Raw genomic sequence first — 27,960 nt, 5'->3', positions numbered from 1 at the left:
GAGGCGAGCCGCCGGAGCGGTGTCAGGCCCGGACGCTGCGCGGGGCCCGGTGTTTCGCGGGACGGGGGTCTCCACCCAGCCCAGGGGACGACGCGTTTTCCGGGGGTGGGGGGTGGGGGTGGGGAGGGGGCGGTCAGGCGGCGGGGTGGGCTGGTGGAGAGGCAGGAGAGCTCTGCCCGGGCTGCTCCCACAGCCCAGGCGGCTGCCCGCAAACCCGCGCGTGCGCAGTAGGCGGCCCACCTGCTGGTACCTGGGCCGGCTCTGGGATCCCCGGGATGCCCAGGAAAGAATGGCAGTTCTCCGCGGTGTGGAGTCTCTCACCGGGCCTGGACCTAGAAGGCAGGAATCCCAGGCCGGTCAGCCCGGTGGAGGGGGCGGGGCGGAGACACGCCCCTCCGTAGCCAGCCAGGTGTTCCCCGCGAAAGAGAGGCCACCGCCCTGCCCCGAACCACCCGACCCCGTCCCAACCCCGCGTCCTAAAGCTCCTCCAGCAGAGCCCGGTATTCTTCCTCGCTGAGGGGTGCTTCCAGCGAGGCGGCCTCTTCCGAGGCCTCCAGCTCCCCCGGGGCCTCCGTTTCTAGGAGAGGTTGCGCCTGCTGCAGAAACTCCGGGCTCGCCAGGAGCTCATCCAGCAGCAGGCCGCAGGGGAGTGCAGACCAGGGCGCCGGCTCCTGGAGCGCCTGGGAGGGCGCCGGGATGCCTTGCATCTGCCCCTGCCGCGCGGAGGCGGAGGCGTCCGGGGGCGCGGGCTGGGGAGGTGGAGCTGCCCCGGCTTGGGGTTCCCACGCCGCCCCGGCGACCTGGGGACCCCGGCCCCAGCCCCACCACGGACTCCCCTGGGACGTGGGTGGCGCAAGCACCCCTTGGCCCTGCGGCCCCGCTTGAGCGGGCCCAGGCTGTGCCACCGCGCAGGGGCCCGGCAGGCCGTCGCGCTGCGGGTCCCGGTCCTCCCGGCTTTTGCCCGGGTGCGGAGGCCACCGAGGAGCCTGAGGGTGGGAGAGCGCCCCGTCCGGAGGAGCCGGGGCGGCGTAGGCGAAATCCCCGCGCGCCGGGGCAGGTTGGGAGACCCCCTCTGCCGGCGCGGCCTGGCTGGGCTGCAGCGCGGGGGCGGCCCTCGCTGCCTGGCTCACGAAAGCCCCCTGTGGGAGAGCCCCAGGCGCGCAGGGCACGTGGGGTGCGGGAAGCCCCGTTCCCCACGCGCCGGTGTGGGCGAAGGCGACCCACGAGGGAGCAGGGTGACCCCCGCCGGGGGCCGCGCTGCACAGGCCGCCTGCCTGCGCGGGCGCCCTGCCACCCTGTCCCGGGTGCCTGGCCCTTCGATTCTGAAACCAGATCTGAATCCTGGACTCCGGGAGGCCCGTCTCTCTGGCCAGCTCCTCCCGGGCGGCGATGCCTGGAAAGCGATCCTTCTCAAAGGCTCGGAGGAGCAGGGCGGTCTGGGATCCGGTGACGGCGGTCCGCTTTCGCCGGCCTTCTGGCGGGCCGCGTCTCCCGGGCCAGGGCCGAGATTCCCGCCGGTGCTGCCTCAGCTGGCGTGACCTCTCATTCTGAAACCAAATCTGGACCCTGGGCTCCGGAATGCCGATGGCCTGGGCCAGCCGTTCTCTGGTGGCGATGCCCGGGTACGGGTTCCGCTCAAAGCAGGCTCGCAGGGCCTCGCTTTGGCTCGGGGTCCAAACGAGTCTCCGTCGCCGTCCTCGTCCCCGGGCTTCCGCGGGGAGGGTGCTGTCCGAAGGTGTCGGGAGGGCCATCGCGGTGAGCCCCGGCCGGAATTTCACGGACGGACGCGGGCAGAGAGAGGCCGGCGGGCTCCCGTGCACCTCAGCCGGACTGTGCACTGCGGCAGGTGCAGCCAGGAGGCCTGCCCGGACAGCCAGCCAGCCAGCCAGCCGCCCTTGTAAAGGCCCACAGGCAGGCAGGCTCCACCCCTTCATGAATGGCGGTGAGCCCCCCTGGGACAGCCCGCCCCACCCCGGAAGGGACCCAGGGCGTCGAGGCCTGGGGCCGGCCGGCGGGGTGGTGGTGGTGGTGGTGGGGGGGGGGGGTGGTGGGGGAGGGCGTGGTGGCGGTGGTGGTGGTGGGGCCGGAGAGACGAAGAGGAAGGGGGAGAGGGGGGAGGGGGGAGGGGGGCGCGTTTCGGGGGCCGGCTCTTCTGACCTCTCCAGGGATCCCGCGGGAACGGGAAGCCGCTCTCTGGGCTCCCACGCGTCGGCAGCAGGGAGAAACCAGCCTGGGAGGGTGGAGGGGAGTGTGGAACTGAACCTCCGTGGGAGTCTTGAGTGTGCCAGGCCCTCTCTCCGTGAAGGAGGCAATGCCTGTGGGCGTCGCCGTTGCCGGGACGGTCTCGCACACGCAGGCGTGTGGCTCTCGTTCATTTCCACGTAGAAGACCAGAGCGAGACCCCAGAGAGGAGATGCCTCCCCGGCGTGATGGCCTGACGATGGATTCCCGCGTGCGGCAACGTGGGGAGTCTGCAGTGTGGCCGGTTTGGAACCTGGCAAGGAGAGCGAAGGCACCATGCCGGGCTTGCACCCTTCCCTGCATGTTTCCGGGTGCCCGCAGAGCTCCGGGAGCAAACAGTCGGCATGGCCAGCCTTTCGGGGGCCGGAGAGACGTGAGCAACAGGCCGCCTTGCGGAGGGCAAAGCCACGCGGAAACCAAAATCACGCCTCCGTCGTCCTGCGTGTGGCTCCTCCGTGGCCGGGTCTGTCGGCCTCGCGCCGCGTTGCAGGGCTCAGCCTGGGGATGTGGGGTCTGTGAACCGCGCGGGTGAAGACCCGACGGCAACCCGAGTCCCGGTCTTTTGTCCCGGAGGAAACCGCCCACTCCCTGGGCCCCGGAACCGGGGCGAATGGGTGGTGCCCCGCCGGCCGGCGCGGCGGCTGTGGGCCCAGCCCTCAGCCCGCGCCGGACGCTGACCGTTTTCCCGGAGGGCGGGGGTCCCGCTACTCCCGGAGGCCGAGGACCGCTTTTCCTCCCTGCCTTCCTCCCCCCGTCCGTCCCCGGCTCCCTCCCGCCCGCCCCCAGTCCCTGCGTCGCTCTGTCTCTCCCTCCGTTCCTCCCTGCCTCCCTGCCTCCCTGCCTCCCTCCTAACGTCCCTCCGCCCATCCTTCCGCCCCTCTAGGTCTCCCGTTCCTCTCTCCATCTCTGCCCGCCTTCCCTCCCGCCTGGAACGCTCAGCGTCCCCGGTGTGCGCCGGGCCTGGGGTCTGCGTTCCGCCGCCAGGCGCTCCGTGCTGGCACCTGGGCGGCTGCAGGGGCCCGGGCGGGCGGGCGACGGTGGCGCGGGGGCGCAGAGGAGGCGAGCCGCCGGAGCGGTGTCAGGCCCGGACGCTGCGCGGGGCCCGGTGTTTCGCGGGACGGGGGTCTCCACCCAGCCCAGGGGACGACGCGTTTTCCGGGGGTGGGGGGTGGGGGTGGGGATGGGGCGGTCAGGCGGCGGGGTGGGCTGGTGGAGAGGCAGGAGAGCTCTGCCCGGGCTGCTCCCACAGCCCAGGCGGCTGCCCGCAAACCCGCGCGTGCGCAGTAGGCGGCCCACCTGCTGGTACCTGGGCCGGCTCTGGGATCCCCGGGATGCCCAGGAAAGAATGGCAGTTCTCCGCGGTGTGGAGTCTCTCACCGGGCCTAGACCTAGAAGGCAGGAATCCCAGGCCGGTCAGCCCGGTGGAGGGGGCGGGGCGGAGACACGCCCCTCCGTAGCCAGCCAGGTGTTCCCCGCGAAAGAGAGGCCACCGCCCTGCCCCGAACCACCCGACCCCGTCCCAACCCCGCGTCCTAAAGCTCCTCCAGCAGAGCCCGGTATTCTTCCTCGCTGAGGGGTGCTTCCAGCGAGGCGGCCTCTTCCGAGGCCTCCAGCTCCCCCGGGGCCTCCGTTTCTAGGAGAGGTTGCGCCTGCTGCAGAAACTCCGGGCTCGCCAGGAGCTCATCCAGCAGCAGGCCGCAGGGGAGTGCAGACCAGGGCGCCGGCTCCTGGAGCGCCTGGGAGGGCGCCGGGATGCCTTGCATCTGCCCCTGCCGCGCGGAGGCGGAGGCGTCCGGGGGCGCGGGCTGGGGAGGTGGAGCTGCCCCGGCTTGGGGTTCCCACGCCGCCCCGGCGACCTGGGGACCCCGGCCCCAGCCCCACCACGGACTCCCCTGGGACGTGGGTGGCGCAAGCACCCCTTGGCCCTGCGGCCCCGCTTGAGCGGGCCCAGGCTGTGCCACCGCGCAGGGGCCCGGCAGGCCGTCGCGCTGCGGGTCCCGGTCCTCCCGGCTTTTGCCCGGGTGCGGAGGCCACCGAGGAGCCTGAGGGTGGGAGAGCGCCCCGTCCGGAGGAGCCGGGGCGGCGTAGGCGAAATCCCCGCGCGCCGGGGCAGGTTGGGAGACCCCCTCTGCCGTCGCGGCCTGGCTGGGCTGCAGCGCGGGGGCGGCCCTCGCTGCCTGGCTCACGAAAGCCCCCTGTGGGAGAGCCCCAGGCGCGCAGGGCACGTGGGGTGCGGGAAGCCCCGTTCCCCACTCGCCGGTGTGGGCGAAGGCGACCCACGAGGGAGCAGGGTGACCCCCGCCGGGGGCCGCGCTGCACAGGCCGCCTGCCTGCGCGGGCGCCCTGCCACCCTGTCCCGGGTGCCTGGCCCTTCGATTCTGAAACCAGATCTGAATCCTGGACTCCGGGAGGCCCGTCTCTCTGGCCAGCTCCTCCCGGGCGGCGATGCCTGGAAAGCGATCCTTCTCAAAGGCTCGGAGGAGCAGGGCGGTCTGGGATCCGGTGACGGCGGTCCGCTTTCGCCGGCCTTCTGGCGGGCCGCGTCTCCCGGGCCAGGGCCGAGATTCCCGCCGGTGCTGCCTCAGCTGGCGTGACCTCTCATTCTGAAACCAAATCTGGACCCTGGGCTCCGGAATGCCGATGGCCTGGGCCAGCCGTTCTCTGGTGGCGATGCCCGGGTACGGGTTCCGCTCAAAGCAGGCTCGCAGGGCCTCGCTTTGGCTCGGGGTCCAAACGAGTCTCCGTCGCCGTCCTCGTCCCCGGGCTTCCGCGGGGAGGGTGCTGTCCGAGGGTGTCGGGAGGGCCATCGCGGTGAGCCCCGGCCGGAATTTCACGGACGGACGCGGGCAGAGAGAGGCCGGCGGGCTCCCGTGCACCTCAGCCGGACTGTGCACTGCGGCAGGTGCAGCCAGGAGGCCTGCCCGGACAGCCAGCCAGCCAGCCAGCCGCCCTTGTAAAGGCCCACAGGCAGGCAGGCTCCACCCCTTCATGAATGGCGGTGAGCCCCCCTGGGACAGCCCGCCCCACCCCGGAAGGGACCCAGGGCGTCGAGGCCTGGGGCCGGCCGGCGGGGTGGTGGTGGTGGGGGGGGGGGGGGGGGGGGGAGGGCGTGGTGGCGGTGGTGGTGGTGGGGCCGGAGAGACGAAGAGGAAGGGGGAGAGGGGGGAGGGGGGAGGGGGGCGCGTTTCGGGGGCCGGCTCTCCGGACCTCTCCAGGGATCCCGCGGGAACGGGAAGCCGCTCTCTGGGCTCCCACGCGTCGGCAGCAGGGAGAAACCAGCCTGGGAGGGTGGAGGGGAGTGTGGAACTGAACCTCCGTGGGAGTCTTGAGTGTGCCAGGCCCTCTCTCCGTGAAGGAGGCAATGCCTGTGGGCGTCGCCGTTGCCGGGACGGTCTCGCACACGCAGGCGTGTGGCTCTCGTTCATTTCCACGTAGAAGACCAGAGCGAGACCCCAGAGAGGAGATGCCTCCCCGGCGTGATGGCCTGACGATGGATTCCCGCGTGCGGCAACGTGGGGGAGTCTGCAGTGTGGCCGGTTTGGAACCTGGCAAGGAGAGCGAAGGCACCATGCCGGGCTTGCACCCTTCCCTGCATGTTTCCGGGTGCCCGCAGAGCTCCGGGAGCAAACAGTCGGCATGGCCAGCCTTTCGGGGGCCGGAGAGACGTGAGCAACAGGCCGCCTTGCGGAGGGCAAAGCCACGCGGAAACCAAAATCACGCCTCCGTCGTCCTGCGTGTGGCTCCTCCGTGGCCGGGTCTGTCGGCCTCGCGCCGCGTTGCAGGGCTCAGCCTGGGGATGTGCGGTCTGTGAACCGCGCGGGTGAAAACCCGACGGCAACCCGAGTCCCGGTCTTTTGTCCCGGAGGAAACCGCCCACTCCCTGGGCCCCGGAACCGGGGCGAATGGGTGGTGCCCCGCCGGCCGGCGCGGCGGCTGTGGGCCCAGCCCTCAGCCCGCGCCGGACGCTGACCGTTTTCCCGGAGGGCGGGGGTCCCGCTACTCCCGGAGGCCGAGGACCGCTTTTCCTCCCTGCCTTCCTCCCCCCGTCCGTCCCCGGCTCCCTCCCGCCCGCCCCCAGTCCCTGCGTCGCTCTGTCTCTCCCTCCGTTCCTCCCTGCCTCCCTGCCTCCCTGCCTCCCTCCTAACGTCCCTCCGCCCATCCTTCCGCCCCTCTAGGTCTCCCGTTCCTCTCTCCATCTCTGCCCGCCTTCCCTCCCGCCTGGAACGCTCAGCGTCCCGGTGTGCGCCGGGCCTGGGGTCTGCGTTCCGCCGCCAGGCGCTCCGTGCTGGCAGCTGGGCGGCTGCAGGGGCCCGGGCGGCGGGCGACGGTGGCCCGGGGGCGACAGGGAGGAGGCGAGCCGCCGGAGCGGTGTCAGGCCCGGACGCTGCGCGGGGCCCGGTGTTTCGCGGGACGGGGGTCTCCACCCAGCCCAGGGGACGACGCGTTTTCCGGGGGTGGGGGGTGGGGGGTGGGGATGGGGCGGTCAGGCGGCGGGGTGGGCTGGTGGAGAGGCAGGAGAGCTCTGCCCGGGCTGCTCCCACAGCCCAGGCGGCTGCCCGCAAACCCGCGCGTGCGCAGTAGGCGGCCCACCTGCTGGTACCTGGGCCGGCTCTGGGATCCCCGGGATGCCCAGGAAAGAATGGCAGTTCTCCGCGGTGTGGAGTCTCTCACCGGCCTGGACCTAGAAGGCAGGAATCCCAGGCCGGTCAGCCCGGTGGAGGGGGCGGGGCGGAGACACGCCCCTCCGTAGCCAGCCAGGTGTTCCCCGCGAAAGAGAGGCCACCGCCCTGCCCCGAACCACCCGACCCCGTCCCAACCCCGCGTCCTAAAGCTCCTCCAGCAGAGCCCGGTATTCTTCCTCGCTGAGGGGTGCTTCCAGCGAGGCGCCTCTTCCGAGGCCTCCAGCTCCCCCGGGGCCTCCGTTTCTAGGAGAGGTTGCGCCTGCTGCAGAAACTCCGGGCTCGCCAGGAGCTCATCCAGCAGCAGGCCGCAGGGGAGTGCAGACCAGGGCGCCGGCTCCTGGAGCGCCTGGGAGGGCGCCGGGATGCCTTGCATCTGCCCCTGCCGCGCGGAGGCGGAGGCGTCCGGGGGGCGCGGGCTGGGGAGGTGGAGCTGCCCCGGCTTGGGGTTCCCACGCCGCCCCGGCGACCTGGGGACCCCGGCCCCAGCCCCACCACGGACTCCCCTGGGACGTGGGTGGCGCAAGCACCCCTTGGCCCTGCGGCCCCGCTTGAGCGGGCCCAGGCTGTGCCACCGCGCAGGGGCCCGGCAGGCCGTCGCGCTGCGGGTCCCGGTCCTCCCGGCTTTTGCCCGGGTGCGGAGGCCACCGAGGAGCCTGAGGGTGGGAGAGCGCCCCGGCTCCGGAGGAGCCGGGGCGGCGTAGGCGAAATCCCCGCGCGCCGGGGCAGGTTGGGAGATCCCCTCTGCCGGCGCGGCCTGGCTGGGCTGCAGCGCGGGGGCGGCCCTCGCTGCCTGGCTCACGAAAGCCCCCTGTGGGAGAGCCCCAGGCGCGCGCATCCCAATGTCTCCCCATCTCCCCTCACACACTTCTGACTTGAGGCACAATAGATTTATAAATAATGGCATGACAAGGGTCTCCAGAAGTGTGCACAGATTTTCCCAGATCCCCAAAAGCAATGCCAAACTAGTCAGATCATTTATGTTCTCACAAGATTCTGGGAGGATTTTGCCTGTGAGTTCGAATGCACTTTAAGATTCTGGGAGGGAGAGAAAAAGCCTTAGGGGATTGCAGAGTAGAATAAGCATAAGACAGGAAATGTTCCTCTGTTACAGCAAGGAAAATAGAAGTAGGCTTTCTGAAAACAGTTTGCACTGGAGCAGAGATGACCACAGTATATTCAAACTCTGGCCTTGTCCGTGACGTTTAATAGGGTTTTTTGTTTTTCTCTTGTAAATTTTTTTTTCATTGGTGCAGAAATTTGATGAAGTCTGGCTTACAGCCTGTCCACTGCAGTTTATTTTTTCACCCAGAACAGTAACTGGGCTAATGAGAAAATGCCCAACTCCCAGTATCTCCTTCAGGAGAGAATTAAAACAGTAGAATATGTGTTGAAATGTTTGGCTTTTTGATAAATTGTCTAATGACTAGATTCTTTCTCTCCTGATGTGGAGTGCTGAAGGACATGATGGAGTCATATAGATGACAGTTTGTGTCTGCTGAGAAGAAAGATGAGTGTTTGCTACAGCACTAGTGAAACTGCAATACCACAGACAGCCAACTGGGGAAGAAAATAGACAATAGAATCTAAAATACATTGAGAAAAAATTCTCTTTAACTTGGAAACACAGCGAAGTCCAGAGAAAATATATTTGGGAATGTGTTTGTGAAGCACCTAGAATCTATAGCCTGGACTATTGCTGTCGGTATCCCCCTTTACTGAGCCAGTCTTTAAATGCTAGATTTGATGAGTGCTGTATAGATCCCCAGATCTCTTTAAAAAAAAAAAATCACAAGGCACACAGAGAAGGCAGAAAATATTCCCCATTGGAAGAAAAACATAAATATTCAGAAACTGAATTTTAACAAATAAAGATTTTTTGCATATCTGATGGAGAACTTAAAATAATCATCTTATGCATTCTCAGTGAGCAAAACTATAACAGAAAGAGACAACTGAGTGAAATTTAAAAATAACGAATGAGCAAAATATCAACAAAGAGATAAAAACTATTTTTAAAAACCCAACAGAAATCATAGAGTTGAAGAATATAATAACTGAGTTTTATAAATTCACTACAGAGACACAACAGCGAACAATGGAGCAGAAAAAAGAAAATTGAACATATATTATTCACAAATATTGAGTCCTGGAAACTAATATTTTAAAGAATGGGAAAATTACGGGTGAAATATAAGACTTACTGGACACCATCAAGTAGACCAATACATTCAGAGATAGAGTCTTTTAAAAAGAATAGAGGGAGAAAATGGCATAAACATTATTTCAGAGAAAAAGCGGGGATGCTAAGAACTTTCCAGATTTCAAAGCGATGAAAGAAAAAATACTAGCAACCAATAATAATTGATCTGGGAAATACTGTATTTCAAAATTAGAAAAAAATAAAGACTTTCAAAGATTAAAATAAAAAAGCTGAGGTTGTTAACTACTAGAATAACCCTAGGAAAAAAAATGCTAAAGAGAGTTAATTATGTTGAAAAATTAAATGATGCTGGACAGCATCATAAAACCACATGAAAATATAAAGCTCTCTGTTCAATGTAAATATATACACAGATATACAATTTTCTACTATAATGGTGCATTAAATTCTTAAATCTCTGTGAAAATACAAATCATATATAAAGATACAATTTGTAATGTTAAGAAAGTGACGGAAGTAAAAATGAATATATTTTGTATGTTGTTAAGGTGAAGTTGAAGGCAAAAGCCATTTGCCCTGGGGACCTTAGCAATGGGCAAGGGAGGAGGCAAGGCTGCCATTTTCTCTCCCTCATTTCTTCCATCTCCCCTTACTCTGCATAGGGATTTTTCTTGGTCTGCAGGAATAGTCAATGGGCCAGGCTCTGTCCTGCGTGCACAAACACACACACACACACAGGTGCAGGTGGGCATGGCATGTATACGCGGAACCTGGGATTTTAATTTTAAAATTTTTAAAAAGTGGGAAACCAAGGATTTTTGGCATGATTCTCAGGACTTTGGGCTGGGGAAAGGGTAAGTCTTTGCTTTCTGCCATGTGGCATGCCATCAGTTGTTGGGGCTTTCTCCCTCAAGGTGTCCCCCAAGGAGATTGTGCAGGAGATTTACCCGGTGCTCATGGTCCGTGAAGACATGTGTCACCGCACCTGCTTCTCACTGCCCCTGGACAGCAACATGCTGGACCACTTCTCAGAGATGTGCAACATTGAGGAGCGGCAGGAGGGCTCAGGGCTGTGTGTGAGGGAAGGCTGTTTTGGAAGTTCGGTGGACTGCCTTGGGGACGGCCCCCAGAAGCAGGGCCAGGAAGCACTTCCCCACTTCTCTGAGGGCTCTGCGTCAGATGAGAGCATGAAGGTGGGATTGGAGCTGCGCTCTGCTTGTCAGGCTGTCACACCAGCACCTTCTAACTTCACAACCCGTGAGTTAAAGAACAGCGTTCTGATTCCAAAAAAAATGAGGCAGTACCAAGCCAGGCTTGATATCAGCCCAACAAAATTCTATAAAGAAAAATAATGTTTAAAAAAAAAGAAAGAAAAGCTTCACAGCCTTTGAGTAGGGAAGTCTGCCCCGTGCAGCACTGCCAACTGCTGAGGTGAGATTGGCATGGTTGTAAAGCAAAAGTTCTCATGCACTCAAGTTACCTGCGGGGAAGCTACTCATGTTCTCAGGGTCTACCTGCTTGTTAAGAGCAATTGTGAAAAAGATCTGTAGCTCAATGTGTCCCATAATTGATCACAGAACCTTTCCTTTTTCCCAAAAGAACCACCATTAAAATATCGTGAAACACACATTGGAAGACAGTGCTGAACTTGTGCATCCTGAAAAGTTCTTAGGACACCCCTGCATGAGGGCTGCCCCTGGACAGCAGGGCAAGGTTGTGGAGGCCCCAGAGCTCTGAAAGCTATGCCTACCCAAGACACTAGTGCACAAAGAGGAAGTGGCCTTGTGGCTCCCCAAGACCTGCCTGTGCTTCAGAGGCATTTGGCAGAAGGTTTCTTGTTAACAAGGATCCTTGCAGGAAGGAGAGAGAGAGAGACAGAAAGAGACATACAGAGAGAGAGACTGTGTGTGTGTGTGTGTGTGTGTTTGTGTGTGTGTGTGTGTGTGCTGAAACCAGAACTCCACCTTATGTGTTTATTGTGGAATTTGAAAATGAAAGCCTAAAGTTGAAAACTAAAATCACACATGACCGCACCCTGCCAACTATTTACTGTCTGAGAAGGGTCGTTCCAGGGTGTAGGACCCGGGTAACACCCTTTTCCCTTCCTTCCTGAAAGAGCTACACACACTGCTCAAAGCCTGTATCCACATGTTCCATGTCCAAGACGAGCTCAAGAGCCTGGACCCATCTGCCACTTTCAGCAGGGTTAACTGCAGCTGCTTGTTCTTCCTGAGCATCTTCTCCAATGGTGACCTGAGAGTTGAGGGAGGCATTGGCGCCAGGATTGAACAGAGGAAAAGGGAGCACGGACACTCAGGTGGTGAGGACCAGGCCATCTCACCTGGAGGGTTCTGGCCCTGAGACATCCAGACAAGCATCACATTTAGGTGCAGACAGCTGGCCTTGGGTGGCTCTGTGCTTGTCACCGGCCTCGGGTCCCTCAAACAGTGGAAATGGAAGAATGGCTTGGGAAATGGCCCCATCAACTGTGTGTCACCTGAGCACATTCTCCCAGGGGTCCAGGAGGGGCCATCGTGTCTCCAGAACCAGAACTGGAAGGTCCAACTTCCAGGGGAAGCAAGGAAGAGTGTTCTTAGTGAAGTGGAGGGCCTCACAGCAAGATGCCTGGCTTAATCAAGCTTGGACATGCCTGAAGCATGTTCAGTGACTAAAAGTGCCTACCATGAGCAGCTGGAACCCACTCCCTGAGAGCTTCAAGATGCATGGGTACCTCATGTACCTGTTTGTAATTACAGCCAAGGACCAGCAGGCAGCATTACTGCATCCACATGGGGCTTTTACTGGAACCAGTAAGTCTCTGCCAGCCCCTCACAGGCTCCTGGGATGCCACTCATTCTGCGTCTATGGACAGACAACCAGGACACTTGCTCAGTGCCCACCCACTCCTTGTGGCCCACAGCCCATCACTCAACCCCAGCCCCACCATCCCCTGCTTCCTAAGCCATTCCTCATGCCAGAAGAAAAGGCAATACCTTTGTCCCACAGCCTCTGCCTTGTGTCATGTCATGTGGGCGTATGGAATGAACTGGCCAGCCTAAACTCCAGTGCTTATGCCTGAGGAATCTGTCCCCACTGTCTGAGTCCCCCTCTAGGGAGCTGTCAGTGGGGGAGAGAGCAGCCCTGGAAGAGAGGCCCACGTGCTTCTGTTTGACTTCAGGGCAGCCTCTCAGGGCAAGAACCCAGAGAAGATGGTGGCCTCACAGAAGCCTGTGGCAGGGCTCTGGGCTTGGTGGCTGAACATCTCCCTCTTTGCTGCCAGCCATGGGGCCCAGAACCACCCATTCATGAGGGTCACCACCACATTGCAGGTGTGCAGCTGGACGGCTCCCCAGGCAGAGCCTGCCATGGACTCCATGCACACAGAGGATGCACACCTTGAGGCTGGACTATGAGGAGAACATTCCTGAAGAGGTGCATGAAGCCTGGTCCTGCCCTCACTGGGAACCCCCTTCCCTCTGGGTACCAGATAGAATTCTATGCACTTTCCTGGAGGCTCCATGCTGGTCTGTTCATTTGGAAGTTTGAGGCTGTCCATGAGGAAGTAACAAAAAGAGATATCTCAGAGCAGGTTGTGAGGCACAGGCTGAGCCCTTGCCTAGTCCCTCCCTAGTCCCTTTGCAGAGCCGGGGCTGGAACAAGGACCTGTGGATAATGAGGGAACTGCTCTGCAATAACCGGCCTGAGCAGCTGCTTCAAGAAACAGCCACAATCGAGGCACCTATAGCCTCTGGTGAGTGACTGGCAGCCTCAGGCCCACCTGCCATCTGTGAGCAGGTTTTCTTGCTAACAGAATGAAAGCAAAGAAAGCTGGAATAAGCCCAGCCCTCTCAGGCACCTTGAAGTCTGTTGGGGTTCCTTGCAAAGCCTTCTAGCCTTCTGCTTCTTGGCAGCCCACACAAGCACCTTTTTCCAGCCTCTAATGCTTTGATGCTCTGGAAGGAGAGGGCCCTAGTTTTCACTAGGCTATGGGGCCAGGCCTATCCAGCTCCCTACTTCCACTAACAACCACAGGGCTCTCACCTGGGCACACACTGCCCAGCCATAGCCCTTCTAAGGCAGAAGATCATTTGTCTTGCAGTTTCAGCTTGCTAGGGCTTAAAAGTTATCAGTGCTGTTATTAAGATAGAGAAGTGAGATCATCAGCACAGGTGACAGCACAGCCCGGGCTGCTGGGGAGGCTGAGGGAGAGTGTCCAGCCTATTCTGCCAGCTGGGCCTTGCCAGGGGTGTCTCGTGACCCAGTCCCTTAGAGAAACATGCAGACATCTCAGCAAGGAGCTGGAAGGTGCAGATCAGGGCAGCCCAGCACCACTGATGGTGGAGTGGGGCTACCTCCCATCAAGCTGTGTCTCCACAGCTGACCCGTGGAGCCAGGAGGTGATTTACAACATCTGCAAGGCAGTCAGCCCCATCAGCTCTATGCCCTTCAACATTCACTTCAACTCAAACATCCCACCAGAAAGCAGTGGGGACTGGCCAATGCAGCAGCCCTGCAAAGTGGAACAGATCATCCTGGGGTGGGGAATCTGGGGCCTGCCTGCTCATCTGAGCACTGCTCCCTGGGTGTGTGCTCTGCAGGACCCCTGAAGGAGGGCTGTGAGCTCATCAGGGAGACCCTGAGCCTGTGGAACATGCCTGAGGCCATGTCCATGGGGATTTGTGCCTACTTGCACCTCCTTGCTCATCTCACTACGCTATTGGTGACTGTGCTGAGGTGGGCCTCGAGCATCCCCTGGGCTGTGTCAGCACAGGGCTCTGGGCCTGGCCTGGCATTGAGGGACGGCAAATAAGGGGCCTGGGTTTGCATTGTCGCCTCCTGTGGTTCCAGAAAATGAGGAGGTCCAGACCTGCAGTACTGGAACCCTATCAAAGGGGTTAGGAGGCCGCTCACTTTCCCTCAGGGCCCCATGTGGAGGAGCTGAGGGAGGTTAAGGAGACCCTGGGGACTCACTTGTTCTGTCTGGGCTTCCCCCAGCTCCACCCTTTGATAACCATTTTCTGGGAAGAGCTCAGGAACCTCTCGTGCTGTAGTGAGGTGGGGCCTTCCCTCACAGGGTATTGGTGAGGAGGCATTCTGAGACTCTGTGAGTGAGAAGCTAACACAGTGCCTGAGAATACTCATGGGAGCTGTCATCCTCTGTGACCATCACGTGACCTTGTAGTGTTCAGACTGCCTGGCCTGGCCTTGGGCTTGGTAAGGCTGTTTTGGGGTTAGCTGCTTTAGACTCCCACTTTTTTTGCATTCAAACAGTGACTGTTTTAGTGTTTGTCTATGGGTTTAAAAAATCCTAATATTTCATTTATAGTAGTTTCAGCTTGTATGTATGTATTTGTATAAATTTTATTAGAAGAAAGAGGGCTTAAGGCAACAGCATTTTAAGAAGGTCTTAATGGGGCATAGACTTTTATGTCACAACAGCTAATACTGACCTCTTTTTCTACCTTTGCATAAAGTATACGTAGGAAGTGTAGCCAGAGGTGGTGAGGCTAAGTGTCTAGAGCTGAGCTGCTGGGCTTGCTTGCTGGCCTGCAGTCAGGTGGACTCTGGCTGTGAGGCAGTGCCCACCCTGGATCTACATCCCCCACCCCCTCTCCTTAGTCCCTGAGTAACCAACACAAGGCAGTGCTAATAAGCAGGGGAGTGATGGGCATTGGGAACCCCAATACTATCCGGGAAGATCTGAAGGCCATCTGGGCTGGGGCTGTTGGGGGTAGGGGCTGTGGCTGCCTTGGCTTGTCAGGGTGCCACCCACAGATGTGCCTGCCCTGTGCTGCTTCTCCAGCAGCCGGCTGCCTATGGCCCTGAGCCTGTCACACCATGCTTGCTACCTCATGCTACTTGTGTTTGAAAAACCATCCCAAGATGGTGCTGCTGGATGTGAGTGCTGAAAAGGGGGCAGCACCTTTGTCCTGGGGGATTAGGAGCTGACCAGATTCCTCCTGACTCCCTCCCGAAACAAGTGGGGCTGGTGCTGCAATCAATGATGCCCCCCAGAAGATGTGTTTGCACTGGCTGAACAAATACATGATGCAGAGGCCTAAATGAAGACACATGAATGGGGTGTGTAGACATCAGCTAGCAGCTGGGAAACAGGTGTCTCTCAGGCCTCTCATTCTTCAGCAAGTGTGGAATGTGCCCATGCCCTTGAGTGTATACATCTGGAGTGTATACATCTGGCTGTTGCTTTTGCTGCCACTATCCCCAGGCCCAATCTGGCTTAAAGTCCAGGTTTTAAGTAAAAAAGATAAGAGGATTTTCTGTGTTCTGGGATAGGAAGCCAGGGATCTGTGTAGGGCTGCAGTTGGGTGCACATTAGTTTTGTGACAGGATGAGAGCTGCAGTGGTTTTATTAATCGTGATAGCCTGGGCTGGTTGTAGCTTCAGGTGAGGGGAGGGAGTCAGCAGTGGTGGTCCCGGAGACATCCATGTGCCCAGCCCTGGCCTTCCTGCCCTCAGGCACAGCAAAAGGCACCGCCACAGGCCCCGACTTCCTTCTCTACTCTCTGCAGCCCAGATGGGAAAACTTGGAGGCTACAATCTGAATATATTTTTCTCCCATTTTAACCCGAGCTGCCTAACACACAGTGGGGGCAGGGTGGGTGAAGGGCCTGGGGGAAAGCAGGGCTGGATCATGGATCCCGGGGGAAATTTAGAGATACAGAAGTGGCTGTCACCTCTCTGTGGAACCCAGCTCCATACCTGGTCCTTGCCACACCGCCCTTTCTACAGAGAATAGTTCCGGGGCGTTTGGGGATCCCTATGGCCCCGGGTGGCTTCCTGTCCCCCGCTGCCTGTGCTGCTTCCCTTGGCTGCTGGCAGAGCCCAACATGGAGGAGGAGGTTGCAGCCCTGGGAGCCTGAGGGAGCTCTTCCCTTGCCTGCTGGCAGAGCCCAACATGGAGGAGGAGGTTGCAGCCCTGGGAGCCTGAGGGAGCTCTTCCCTTGGCCTGCTGGCAGAGCCCAACATGGAGGAGGAGGTTGCAGCCCTGGGAGCCTGAGGGAGCTCTTCCCTTGACCTGCTGGCAGAGCCCAACATGGAGGAGGAGGTTGCCGCCCTGGGAGCCTGAGGGAGCTGCGTCTGACTGGGGCTTCTGCCTGGGGGTTTGCAAAGAGCTACTTATGAATATAGTCTCTCCAGATTCCTTGTTTCAAAGGAAGTGAGCATGAGCTAGCAAGTGTAGCAACCCCACAGCTGATAAACAACTTTGTCTTGGTTTTAAACCATCACATCTTCATTTCACATTGGAATAAAGTAAGTGAAACCTGCTACTCCAGCCTTGCCCATGTGTTCTGTAACCCAGTCTCCTTTGGTTGTGAGGGCTATTGTCAGAAATGTTATAAGAAAAGATTATGCCATAAATTAAATCAAATGTAAAATTATGCTTATAATGTCACTTGAGTGAAAGGTAAGAGGGTAGAGTCACAGGCACTCAGCTGGGGTTTACCCACCCATCACTTACCACACTCATAAGAGTGTGACACAGGTGAATGTCACTTGACATTGGTGACAGAAGAGAAAAGGCTGGCATGAAGGCCAGGTAGGGGAGAGGTGCCAGGCTGTGGGGCCAGGCCCTGGGCGATGCTGGACCTGTGAGGTCACTGAACATCTAACTGCCCAGGCACTGGCCCTTTTCACATCAGTTGAGGTAAGAGGATGGGGGAGCACTCTCTGGAAGTCACACTGCACTGGGAGAATGGAGGAGAGTCTACAACTCACCATCCTAGTGTAGGTTTTAGAGTGAGATGGACTGTCTTGGAGAGCTAATGAAATGGGAGGAAAGCAGTCCCCCAGGTGCATCTGAGGGCCACAGCCTATGAAGTAAGCAGTGTGTGTGGGAGTGGCCTGTCCCTGTGAGAGGAGAAGTTTAAAGTTATTACAGCTGGTGGCTGCTGCTCAGCCATCCCTCTGCAGAGCAGGCAGGTCCTCAGCTGCATGTATATCTGAATGTCTTTTGGAGTGTTTAGAGAGTCCTCTATGTCTTAGAAATTTTGAAAAGAAAAACAAATTTCAATTCTAATGTTTATTAGTTTCCCTGAGCCAACTGGAAAAAAAATGTCCTTCACCTTGAAGTTTTAAGTGACACCCAAGGGTAGCCACCAGTGTCTCAGCCACTGAAGCCTTGTGCATGCTCCCACTACCAGTTTGATTTGCAGCCTCATGGTTGTGTTGTACTAAATGTTCTTTCTTCTGGCCTTGTCCAGTGAAAACGGTTCACATGGCTAACACCACTTCTTGAGATACGGGCACCATGTAAAGCTGAGAATGGATTGGGTTAGTTACTATTGTGCCTCCTCCTCACCCGAGAGGCCCATTTCTCCTGGTTGATTCATTAAGTGTATTAGTGCTGTCAGTCGCCTTTGGACAACTCAAATGACAAGTGGCTGTTGTTTCATAAAGAAAATGAAGGCTTTAGATGTGAAACACTCCTTTTCTCTTCTGCTTCTCTTAGGTGAAAGATTTTATTTTTTTAAAAAGGGTACATAGTCGTATCCCAGCAGGTGTAGTGTGATAACTGGCATGTGCTAGGCTATGGTTTCAGTGTGTATGGGCAATTCTTCAAGATGGAAAACCAAGTTTCACTGAGTTGCTGGAGCCGCACTCACCTTCCCTCCACATCCCCACCATGGGCTTCCACTTTCCTCCCGGGCTTGAATTTTTTTCACATCCATATTGTTTATACACACACACACACACACACACACACACACACACACACACACACATCTGTCTGTCAGTGCAGTGGCTGAATCATGGGTCAGTGCAGCCTCAAACTCTTAGGCTCGAGTGATCCTTTCACATCAGCTTCTCAAATAGCGAGGACTACACTACAGGCATGCAATGCTACACCCAGCCAATTAAAAAAAATTTTTTGTAGAAACTGAGCCTACTTATGTTGCCCAAACTGGTCTTGAACTCATAGGATCCAGCGATCATCCCACCTTGGCCTCCCAAATTGTTTACATTACAGGTGTGAGCTACCAAACTCAGCCAAAAATATTTTTTAAAGAACAGTTACAACCAAATTATGAGTTATGATTGTGCCACTGCCCTCCAGCCTGGGCACCAGAGCAAGACCTTGTATCCAAAAATAAAGCAAAACAAAACAAGAACAAAAAACCTTATAACCAAATTAAACTTCGAAGATTGTGTCATCTGTGTCCCTCTCTGCCCTCCAGTTATCACCGTTAAATATAATGGTTATTGAGAAAACGGTTAGATATTATTAAGAAATTTCTATATCTACTCCAGCTGAGAATAGGTATTCTGATGTGGCCAAAACATTTTCTCACTGCTACCTTCAGGGTCTAAACTAGCAGACAAAATCAGGACACCTGCAGAGGACAGTTGGCCATTTTCAAATAGAAACAGAAATACCCCCATTAATGAGAGTAATCCAGTGATTTTCAGAAAGACAAGTCAGACTGACATGCAGCACAGTCAGGGCACAATTACCCTGGAATAATCACTTCACACAGAATGGTTGTGGAGCCTTTCTAAGATGAGCAAATATGGGCAACATCATTCTTGCTTATTTATTCCCAGCCCCCGCTGCCCGCCTTATTCTGGCCTGATTCTGGCCCGCCTGATAATGGCCACCCCACAATGTGGTCAGCAGTGAGGTGCAGCGTGGTGAGAGAGGGGCTTCAGGGATGGGATGAGGGTCTTTCCTGCATTATGAAAATGCCTAATAAGTTGTTGAAAAGATGTCCAAATGTTCTACTTCCTACCCTTAAATAGCTGCTAAGATGCATGACTCAACAGATCCTGGTAAGGGAAAGAGCATGCGCATTTCAAGTCTCAGCTCACTTCTTAATTAGCTGTGATACTCTGCGCATGTGACCCCAACTATTCGAGCCTGTTTGCCTGTCCACCCAAGACAATCCTAAGCAAAAACAACTGGTAGCTGGAGGCATCATGCTACCAGACTTCAAACTATACTTCAAGGCTACAGTAACCAAAACACCACGGTACTGGTACCAAACAGATATATAGACCAATGGAACAGAACAAAGACCTCAGAAATAACACCACACATCTACAACCATCTGATCTTCGACAAGCCTGACAAAAACAAGCAATGGGGAAAGATTTTCTATTTAACAAATGGTGCTGAAAAAACTGGCTAGCCATATGCAGAAAACAGAAACTGCACCCCTTCCTTACACCTTAAACATTATCTCAAGATGGATTAAAGTCTTAAATGTAAAACCCCAAACCATAAAAACCCTAGAAGAAAACCTAGGCAATACCATTCAGGACATAGGTATGAGCAAAGACTTCATGACTAAAATACCAAAAGCAATTGCAACAAAAGCCAAAATTGACAAATGAGATCTAATTAAAGAGCTTCTGCACAGCAAAAGAAGCTATCATCAGAGTGAAAGGCAACCTACAGAATGAGAAAATTTTTGCAATCTATCCATCTGACAAAGGTCTAACATCTGGAATCTACAAGGAACTCAAATGAATTCACAAGAAAAAAAAAACCATCAAAAAGTGGGCAGAGGATATGAACAGACTCTTCTCAAAAGAAGATATTTGACTGAGTGTGGTGGCTCACACCTGTAATCCCAGCACTTTGGAACGTGGAGGCAGGTGGATCATGAGGTCAGGAGTTTGAGACCAGCCTGGCCAACATGCTGAAATCTTGTCTCTACTGAAAACACAAAAAATTAGCCAGACATATTGGCAGGTGCCTGTAATCCCAGCTTCTCGGGAGGCTGAAGCAGGAGAATCACTTGAACCCGGGAAACAGATGTTGCAGTGAGCCAAGATCCTGCCACTGCATTCCAGCCTGGGTGACAGAGCAAGACTTCGTCTCAAAGAAGAAGAAGAAGAAGGAGAAGAAGGAGAAGAAGAAGACATTTATGTGGCCAAAAAATATTTTAAAAAATCTCATCATCACTGGTTATTAGAGAAAGGCAAATCAAAACCACAATGAGATACCATCTCACACCAGTTGGAATGGCAATTATTAAAAAGTCAGGAAACAACAGATGCTGGTGAGGCTGTGGAGAAACAGAAACGTTTTTACACTGCTGGAGGGAGGGTAAATTAGTTCAACCATTGTGGAAGACAGTGTGGTGATTCCTCAAGGATCTACAAGCAGAAATACCATTTGACCCAGCAATCCCATTACTGGGTATATATCCAAAGGAATATAAATCATTCTACTATAAAGACACATGCACATTTACGTTTATTGCAGCACTGTTTACAATAGCAAAGACTTGGAACCAACCCAAATGCCCATCAATGATAGACTGGAAAAAGAAAATGTGGCACATATACACCATGGAATACTATGCAGCCATAAAAAAGAATAAGTTCATGTCCTTTGCAGGGACGTGAGTGAAGCTGGAAACCATTATCCTCAGCAAACTAACACAGGGAACAGGAAACCAAACACCATATGTTCTCACTCATATGTGGGAGTTGAACAATGAGAACAGATGTACACCGGAAGGAAACATCACACGCTGGGGCCTGTTAGGGGGTTGGGGTCAAGGGGAGGGAGAGCATTAGGACAAATATCTAATGCACGTGGGGCTTAAAACCTAAATGGCAAGGTTGACGGTGCAGAAAACCACCATGGCACATGTAAACCTCTGTAACAAACCTGCACGTTCTGCACATGTATCCCAAAACTTAAAGTAAAACAAAGAAACAAACAAAAATGCACTAACGCTCAGGGTGAGTGGGGCAGGGGCCGGGGTGGGGTGCGGATGGGTGGGTCCTGGCGTTTTATTCAATCAGTGGCGCTGGTGTGGGAACCACCCAATCGGGCGCACAGTTTGAGAAGAGAGGAGGGCGTGGCTTCCGGCGTTTGGCGGGGCCTTTGTCTCTCGCTGGTGCTGGTGCAGGAGCTTGGGATCCATCTCCTCTTTCGCCTCCTCCACCTTGGGAAATCCAGACAACTCCCTCACAGCCCCTGTTGCCCTGTGAATCTGTAGGTCCTTGGGGACACACAGTTAAGGTGCTGTTACCATGGGGTGGTCTTTGCTCCCAGAGCGCCCAAGATGGTGGCGGGCCACTTCCATAATTTTGGCAGGCCACTTCCAAGATGGTGGCAAGCCTCCTGTTCTCTGACCTGGGGCTCTTGGCCTCACGGATTCCAAGGAATGGAATCTTGAGCCATGCGGTGAGTGTTATAGCTCTATTAGAAGCTGTGGGTCACGGAAGAGAACCGTGGAACCCAGTGACTAGTGTTCAGCTTGATTAGGATGAACCCAGGCGCTTAGCTGTGCAGGAACAATGGCAAGCCTTCAGCCCGATCGGGAGTGGCAATGGATGCCTCGCTGGATCAGGAGCAGAGCGGACACCTTGCTAGCCAGGATGGTCTTGATCTCCTGACCTTGTGATCCGCCCGCCTCGGCCTCCCAAAGTGCTGGGATTACAGGTGTGAGCCATCGTGCCCAGCCAAGAACTGTCTTCACAACAACTGGTGCTGGGGAAATTAGGTACCCACATGTAAAAGAATGAACCTGTGCCCTTCACTTATACTGTAAGAAAAAATTAACTAACTGGATCAAATACCTAAATGTAAGAGCTAAAACTACAAAATTCTTAGAATAAAATATAGGGGAAACACGTCATAACACTGGATTTGGCAGTTTTTTTTTTTTAAACAGGACACCCACAACACAAGAAACAAAAGAAAAATAGACGAATAGGAATCTATCCAGAATATGCAAAGAACAATTCAGCAACAATAAAACAAACTACTTGTTTAAAATATTGGCAAAAACTTAAGCAGACATTTCTCTAAAAATTATGTAAAGTAGCTAATAAGCACATGAAAAGACACTCAACAAAACTCATCATTAGTGAAATGCAAATCTAACCCCAAATGACATATCACTTAATACCCATCAGCATAGCTACTACCAAAAGAAAAAAAAAAACAGAAAATCCGAAGTGTTGGTGAGGACGTGGAGCAATTAGAATCCTTGTACACTGTTGGTGGAAATGTAAAATGCTGCAGCTGCTATAAAATAACAACACAGTAACTAAAAAATTTACACATAAAATCACCATACGATCCAGCAATTTCACATCTGGGTATGCAGCAAAAGATATGAAAGCAAAGACACAAAATAATATACATACACCTAGGTTCATAGCAGCATTACTCACATCACCAAAAAGGTGTTTGAATTACTCAAGTGTTGTTTGAATTACCATCAATGATTAATAGATAAAATGTGATTTATACATAGAGTGGAATGTTATTCAGTTATGTAAAATAAGGAAATTCTGACACATGGTACGTCATGCATGAACCTTAAGGACATTGTGCAAAGTGACATGAGCCAGTCATAAAAGGACAAATACTGAATCATTCCACTTATGAGATACTTAGAGTAGTTAAATTCTAGAAACCCAAATAGAAGAGTAGTTCTTAGGAGCTAGAGGGGGAGTAACAAGGAGCTTATTTAATGGGTATAGAGTTTTGTTTCTGCAAGTTGAAAGAAGGTCCCTATGAGTGGTAATGACAGTTGCAAAACAATGTGAAAGTAGTTAATTTTTCTGAGCTGCACACTTAAAATAGCTAAAATGGTTAATTTTATGTATACTTTACCACAATGTAAAAAATAATTTTAAAATAAACTATAGCTATCTGCAATATCATGAATTAATATCATAAATATAATGTTGCATAGAAGAAAGTAGATGTAAAAGTATACATATTACACAATCTCACTGTTATAAAATCCAAAAAGTGAACACAACTGAGCTTCTGGCTTCCAGTAATAATGAAGTAAAGTAGTTTGTTGAACACTTCACAGATAACTATAACAAAGCTCTTTGGTCACAGGGCTGCAGCACTGCAATCCCAGCATGCACCAGGCTCAGGGAGAGTGCGCTAATCACTGGAGGAAGGGACGAGGCTCCGCGCCTCTCGCTGGTCTTGCTGGGAGATGCAGTCTCATAAACACTCCCAGCCCTTTGGTCACAGGGCTGCGAGCACTGCAATCCCAGCATGCACCAGGCTCAGGGAGAGTGCGCTAATCACTGGAGGAAGGGACGAGGCTCCGCGCCTCTCGCTGGTCTTGCTGGGAGATGCAGTCTCATAAACACTCCCAGCCCTTTGGTCACAGGGCTGCAGCACTACAATCCTAGCATGCACCGGGCTCCGGGAAAGTGCGCGTCACCGGAGGAAGAGGCAGGGCTGTGCGCGCCTCCCTAGGATTGTTGGAAGATGCATTCTCATAAACACTCCCAACCCTTTGGTCAAAGGGCTACAGGACTACAATCCCAGCATGCACCAGGCTCCAGGGCGAGGCGCAGCCCTGGAAGAAGGGGCAGAGTGGTACCCGCCCCACCTAATATGCTGGGAGCTGTAGTCCGTTACCTACTCTCAGCCTGTTTGTCGGTAAGCTTCAGAGCTATAATCCCAGCATGTACCGGGATCCGGGGTCCATAGCCCTGGAGGGAGGGGCAGAGCGGTGTGGACTTCCCGGTGTCCAAAGCACTGCTGAGTTCTGATGCTATGCCGACTCTTTGCAAGGAGAGTGAGTACAGAGGTGCACCTGGAGGGCAGGTCTGGGCTGAGCATTGAGGAGGGTATTACCCTACAAAGATACCTTACCTTTTCCCAAATCGGGCGGGTTGTCCTCACCCGCTTGGCCCTATCCTTCTCAGGTTCCTCTTTCAGTTGCACCCAGGGTTCTTTCCAGAGGAGTACGTCTTCTGCAGCCCAGGGTGCTGCCTTCTTTCCTAAACTGCGTGAGAACTTTCCTGATGTCCAAGACACTGTCATTGTGCCGCAGCCCTCTTTTTTCTCTAGCCAGAGCACGCACTCAACCGTTTTTGAGAGAAATCTTCCACCTGGCCTGCTTGTGAGCAGCTTCAGAGCTCTGCAGGGGTGACAAGGGCTGTGGCTTCTTGGAAAGGTCACTTTCAATGGCGCCTTTTTCACGAATGTGAAAGTCTAGGCATCAGAAAGGTTAATTATTGGGTTGCATAAAATCTGCTAAGAGCAAAGGAAAAAACCCCATTTCTGAGGCGTGAGTCTTGTGAGCCATTTTCATCAACCCACTTAAGTGGACAAGCTCCAAAATGCAACCTGAAGCTACTGAGTATTTAGGCATTTTACACTTGAAATCATTGGTCTCATCTCAAGTCAGGCCTGGCTTGCCAGTGGCTCAGAGCCACAAATGGGACCTGATACCTCAGGAACAGATAGTGTTCCAGCTTTACCGGAGGAACTTTTAAGACGTGGAGCACTTGGGGTCATTTGAAACCCGCTATCTTCAGTAGGGACTTTTAATTCTACAGAGCATGTGCATTTTGATTTTATGTGTCCTCAAGCTGACCCTTTGTTCATTTTAATAGTAAAAAACACATTCCTGGGTGGAGATTTAAGATGCTAGTGAGGCATGCAATGTATGCACAAATATGTACAGCTACTGCACATGTATAACCAGAAGACCAGTCAGAACATGCTTACCGTAACACTTCTTTCCACCTTCTTATGAAATAATCATGCAAAACTCCCATAAAGAGGGTTTCTCCAGCAATAATTAATGCTGTCTCACTTTTATGAGCAGGCTGCCCTGGAATCTCTTTCTCAGACTGTACCGGCTATTCTGCACTTAATTTTCAAAATATTCTTTTTTGGGCAATAAATTATGCTGTACTTCTTTTGCTGTGTGTCTCTTGTTTAAATTATTTTAAACTAAGAAGATAAGAACCAAGGTATTACATCAGCCATCAACATTTCTGGTGCCATGACCTGCGGAGACGTTTGTCTGCTTCATTAATTTCAGTTTCCCTTTACTTGCAGTGAATACTATGGCAGTTTCAGACTACCTGGTTAACTATCGCTGCTGGTTCCAGCGCTGTTCCAGTAAAGTTCTGGGGGAAACGTTTTTAAGTCACCCGCATTCTTTAGAGAGAGAATATATGTCCGCTCTCCTTTTCTCTGCGGCTTCTGTAGTATCGATAAATACGCTAACCACATGGGTTGCCCTCAACATTTCATATTTGGGCTATTTGCCGCTCATTTTCACATCTTTCTGGCCACAGTTTAGACTCAGCTTGTCGTTTGCTGTCCGTTCAGCAATACTCGATCGCCACCTAGTGGCTATTGTAATTTATTTTCTGGTCAGGTTTTCTGTTTACAAAATTTTTGTTTTGTTTTGAGCAGCACATTAAGAGAACCCTGTCCCTTCAGGCTTTATGCATTTCCCAGCTCCTTGAAATTGTTCTTCAACCGGCTTTCTTTGCTGAACAAAAGATGCACAGTCAAGCAGATGCCAAGTCGTAGGGATTGCATCTGAGCATTCCAGGTGTTGTAACTGGGCATCACAAATGGCAAACCAGTGAATTAGAGCAAGGCTTGTCAGCCAGACATCTGCCCCCCAGCCCGCAGTGGGGGTCATCTCCGTAGGGCTGGAGATGTCCACCGCTGGGGGAGCTAGGACGGTGTATGGCAAATGCCTATGACCTCCTAGAGCTTCAGTTAATGGGGTTTCGAGGGGATGCGCTGGACCCCTTGGTGTTTTCACTTGGCTCATGAGGACGCCCACAGCCTCCTGGACTTCAGTAAATGTTCTGTCATTGCAGGATTCTCTCGGCACCATGGGAGCTGCTTCCTCTACTGTCACTGAAACACCCCTGGGATGTATATCTAAAAATTAGAACAGCTTTTGGCTAAATGAACTTAGAAAAAAGAAAACCTTATCTTCTTTTGTAATACTATTTAGCCTGCCTACAGATTAGCTGACAAAACATGGCTGGAGAATGAGACTGTGAGCTTTAACTCCATCCTACAGCTAGATCTTTTCTGTAGCAATCAGGGAAAATGGTCTGAAGTACCCTATGTGCAAGCCGTTCTGGCCTGACAACAAAATCCAGCTCTACGCAGCACCTGTGGGCTAAAGCCTAGTAAGCCAGAAAGCCCCTCAGAACAATTGGAAGATCATCTCTTATTAAGGGGAAGGGACCCCAGACCCCACAGCCCAACACCAGCTCCAGACAGGGGCACTCAGGGGTCCACACCTCCTTTAGAATCCCCAGCATCCCCACACTATCAGAGTCTTCTGTAGAATCTAAGCTTGTTTCACCTCCTCCTTATGCTCCTTTCTATCGGCCTTTGCCAGGTACAATAGAGACCAGCCCAGCTGCAGTTACTCACAGTGGGACTTCACACCATCCAGGGCCAGAGAAATTTCTCCCCTTACAGAAAGTCCCAAATGGAGAGAGGACCATCAGAGTGCTTGTTCTACTCTCAATAAATAATCTAATCCAATATAAGCAACAACTCTGATGGCCCTCAGACAACTTCAGCGCATTTACTGAAGGCTTCCAGGCTCTAACTTTGACCACCATTCAACTGTACCGTCCATAAATGGACCGAATGACTGCTGCCAACTTAGCTGCACAAAATTTTGCTTATTAGCAAAAAATAGAAAATACTTAAAACGTTTGTTGCTTTCACCATTTTAATGCAAAATACTTTTGCAGCATAAATGTCACCATAAGGTGGAGCCTTGGGAATCCAGTATAAACTATCTCAGAAAACCTCAATGGGTCTGCAACAAGCAGCAGAGGGCCTCAATAGACTTCAACAATGTCTGGACTCCATGGCCACTGTAGTCCGACAAAAGCAAAAAGCCTGGGATCTTCTCCCAGCCGGGCAAGGAGGAACATGTTTATATCTAAAAGAGGAATGCTGTTTTTGAGATCAATCAGCCCGGCTTAGTCCAAGAAAATATTAAAAATATCATCACCCAGGCAGACAAAATTGAATCTCTATGAACTTCCATGGGACCATGAAAGCAACGTCTATTACCTGCCTTACTCTCTTTAATAGTAACAGCCATTACTATACTTTCAGCTTTTACTTTTGTTCCAATTTTGTTTAAAATGTTAACTGATTTCTTGCTCTCTTGCTTACGGCAACTCCATGTTTGCATGATGGTTTTGCAAGGCTTTCAACATTTGGCTGCCAACATCTTGCCCACTGGTTCCACGAATTACATGGTTTACACCCAGTTAGATCACACAGGAAGAAACTTTAGGGCCCAGACTAGGTAGAAATAACACCCACTCAGCAGGAAACAGCTCCAGAAAAAGTGACCTAGCCCCTCAACCTCCAATATGATTATGACCCTAAGATCTCTTAGGGGGAAACTGAGGCAGAATAGATCAGAATAGTCAAGAAAATGACCATGATCTCGGGATACAGAAATGTGGGGAAATTATAAATAGAACTACCATATGATGCAGCAATCTCATTGCTGGGTTTATATCAAAAGGAAACAAAATAAGCATGTCAAAAAAGATAACTGCACTCTCATGTTTATTAAGCAGTATTCAAAATAACCCAAACCACTATTTCTTCTAAGTATTTCTAAATTTACCTTTTTTTCATATATTACACCCTAAACTTTTAAAGGTTTCATGTCTGGTTTCCAATTTCTGAAACTTACAAGTCACTGATTCTTTGTTGCCTTCCTATTTAGAGTCTGGTAAAACAATTAAATGCTTTTTATTTCTTCTCAATCTAATCTTCATATATAAATATATTTATATTTTCTATTAATTTGCCTTCTATAACATATATGACTACATTAATTGTGATCAGCATTTCACTTTACTAGCCCTCTTTTTGGCTCAGCCTATTTTAATATGTAATTTGTATGTTGTACATTAAATTGTTTTACAACCCTTTCAATACTTTACTTTTCATTTGCCTCTTTTCCAAAGATAGCTTGACAAGCTCGTAGTTTCTTTCCACATTATTTTGGTTTCTTGTTTTTCCATTATATTGACTTAAACATTTAAATATAAATTCAATATCTGAGATTTATGTGCCATATAATTTCTTCTGATGCTTCACCCCAG

At 53.3% G+C, this 27,960-nt stretch overlaps 1 long non-coding RNA gene and 3 pseudogenes across 1 annotated transcript, besides 1 other annotated feature; 1 reads left to right on the top strand and 3 right to left on the bottom strand.

Moving 5' to 3' along the window:
* On the bottom strand, positions 467–1,751 carry DUX4L7 (double homeobox 4 like 7 (pseudogene); annotated as a pseudogene).
* DUX4L8 (double homeobox 4 like 8 (pseudogene)) lies at positions 3,764–5,048 on the bottom strand (annotated as a pseudogene).
* DBET (D4Z4 binding element transcript) lies at positions 5,119–8,481 on the bottom strand. Its single transcript, NR_121644.1, has one exon. It is a non-coding gene; the product is annotated as a D4Z4 binding element transcript (long non-coding RNA).
* On the top strand, positions 9,987–11,904 carry CLUHP4 (clustered mitochondria homolog pseudogene 4; annotated as a pseudogene).
* Positions 23,290–23,790: an enhancer, noted in NCBI's record as "H3K4me1 hESC enhancer chr4:190970348-190970848 (GRCh37/hg19 assembly coordinates)". NCBI's record gives its function as "activates a minimal SCP1, AML or CMV promoter by ChIP-STARR-seq in naive H9 embryonic stem cells {active_cell/tissue: H9 hESC(naive)}" and the evidence as "EXISTENCE:reporter gene assay evidence [ECO:0000049][PMID:30033119]".

This window comes from Homo sapiens, chromosome 4, assembly GCF_000001405.40.
Source record: "Homo sapiens chromosome 4, GRCh38.p14 Primary Assembly".
NCBI classification, from domain to species: Eukaryota; Metazoa; Chordata; class Mammalia; order Primates; family Hominidae; genus Homo; species Homo sapiens.
This window is presented reverse-complemented; position numbering and strand designations above follow the sequence as displayed.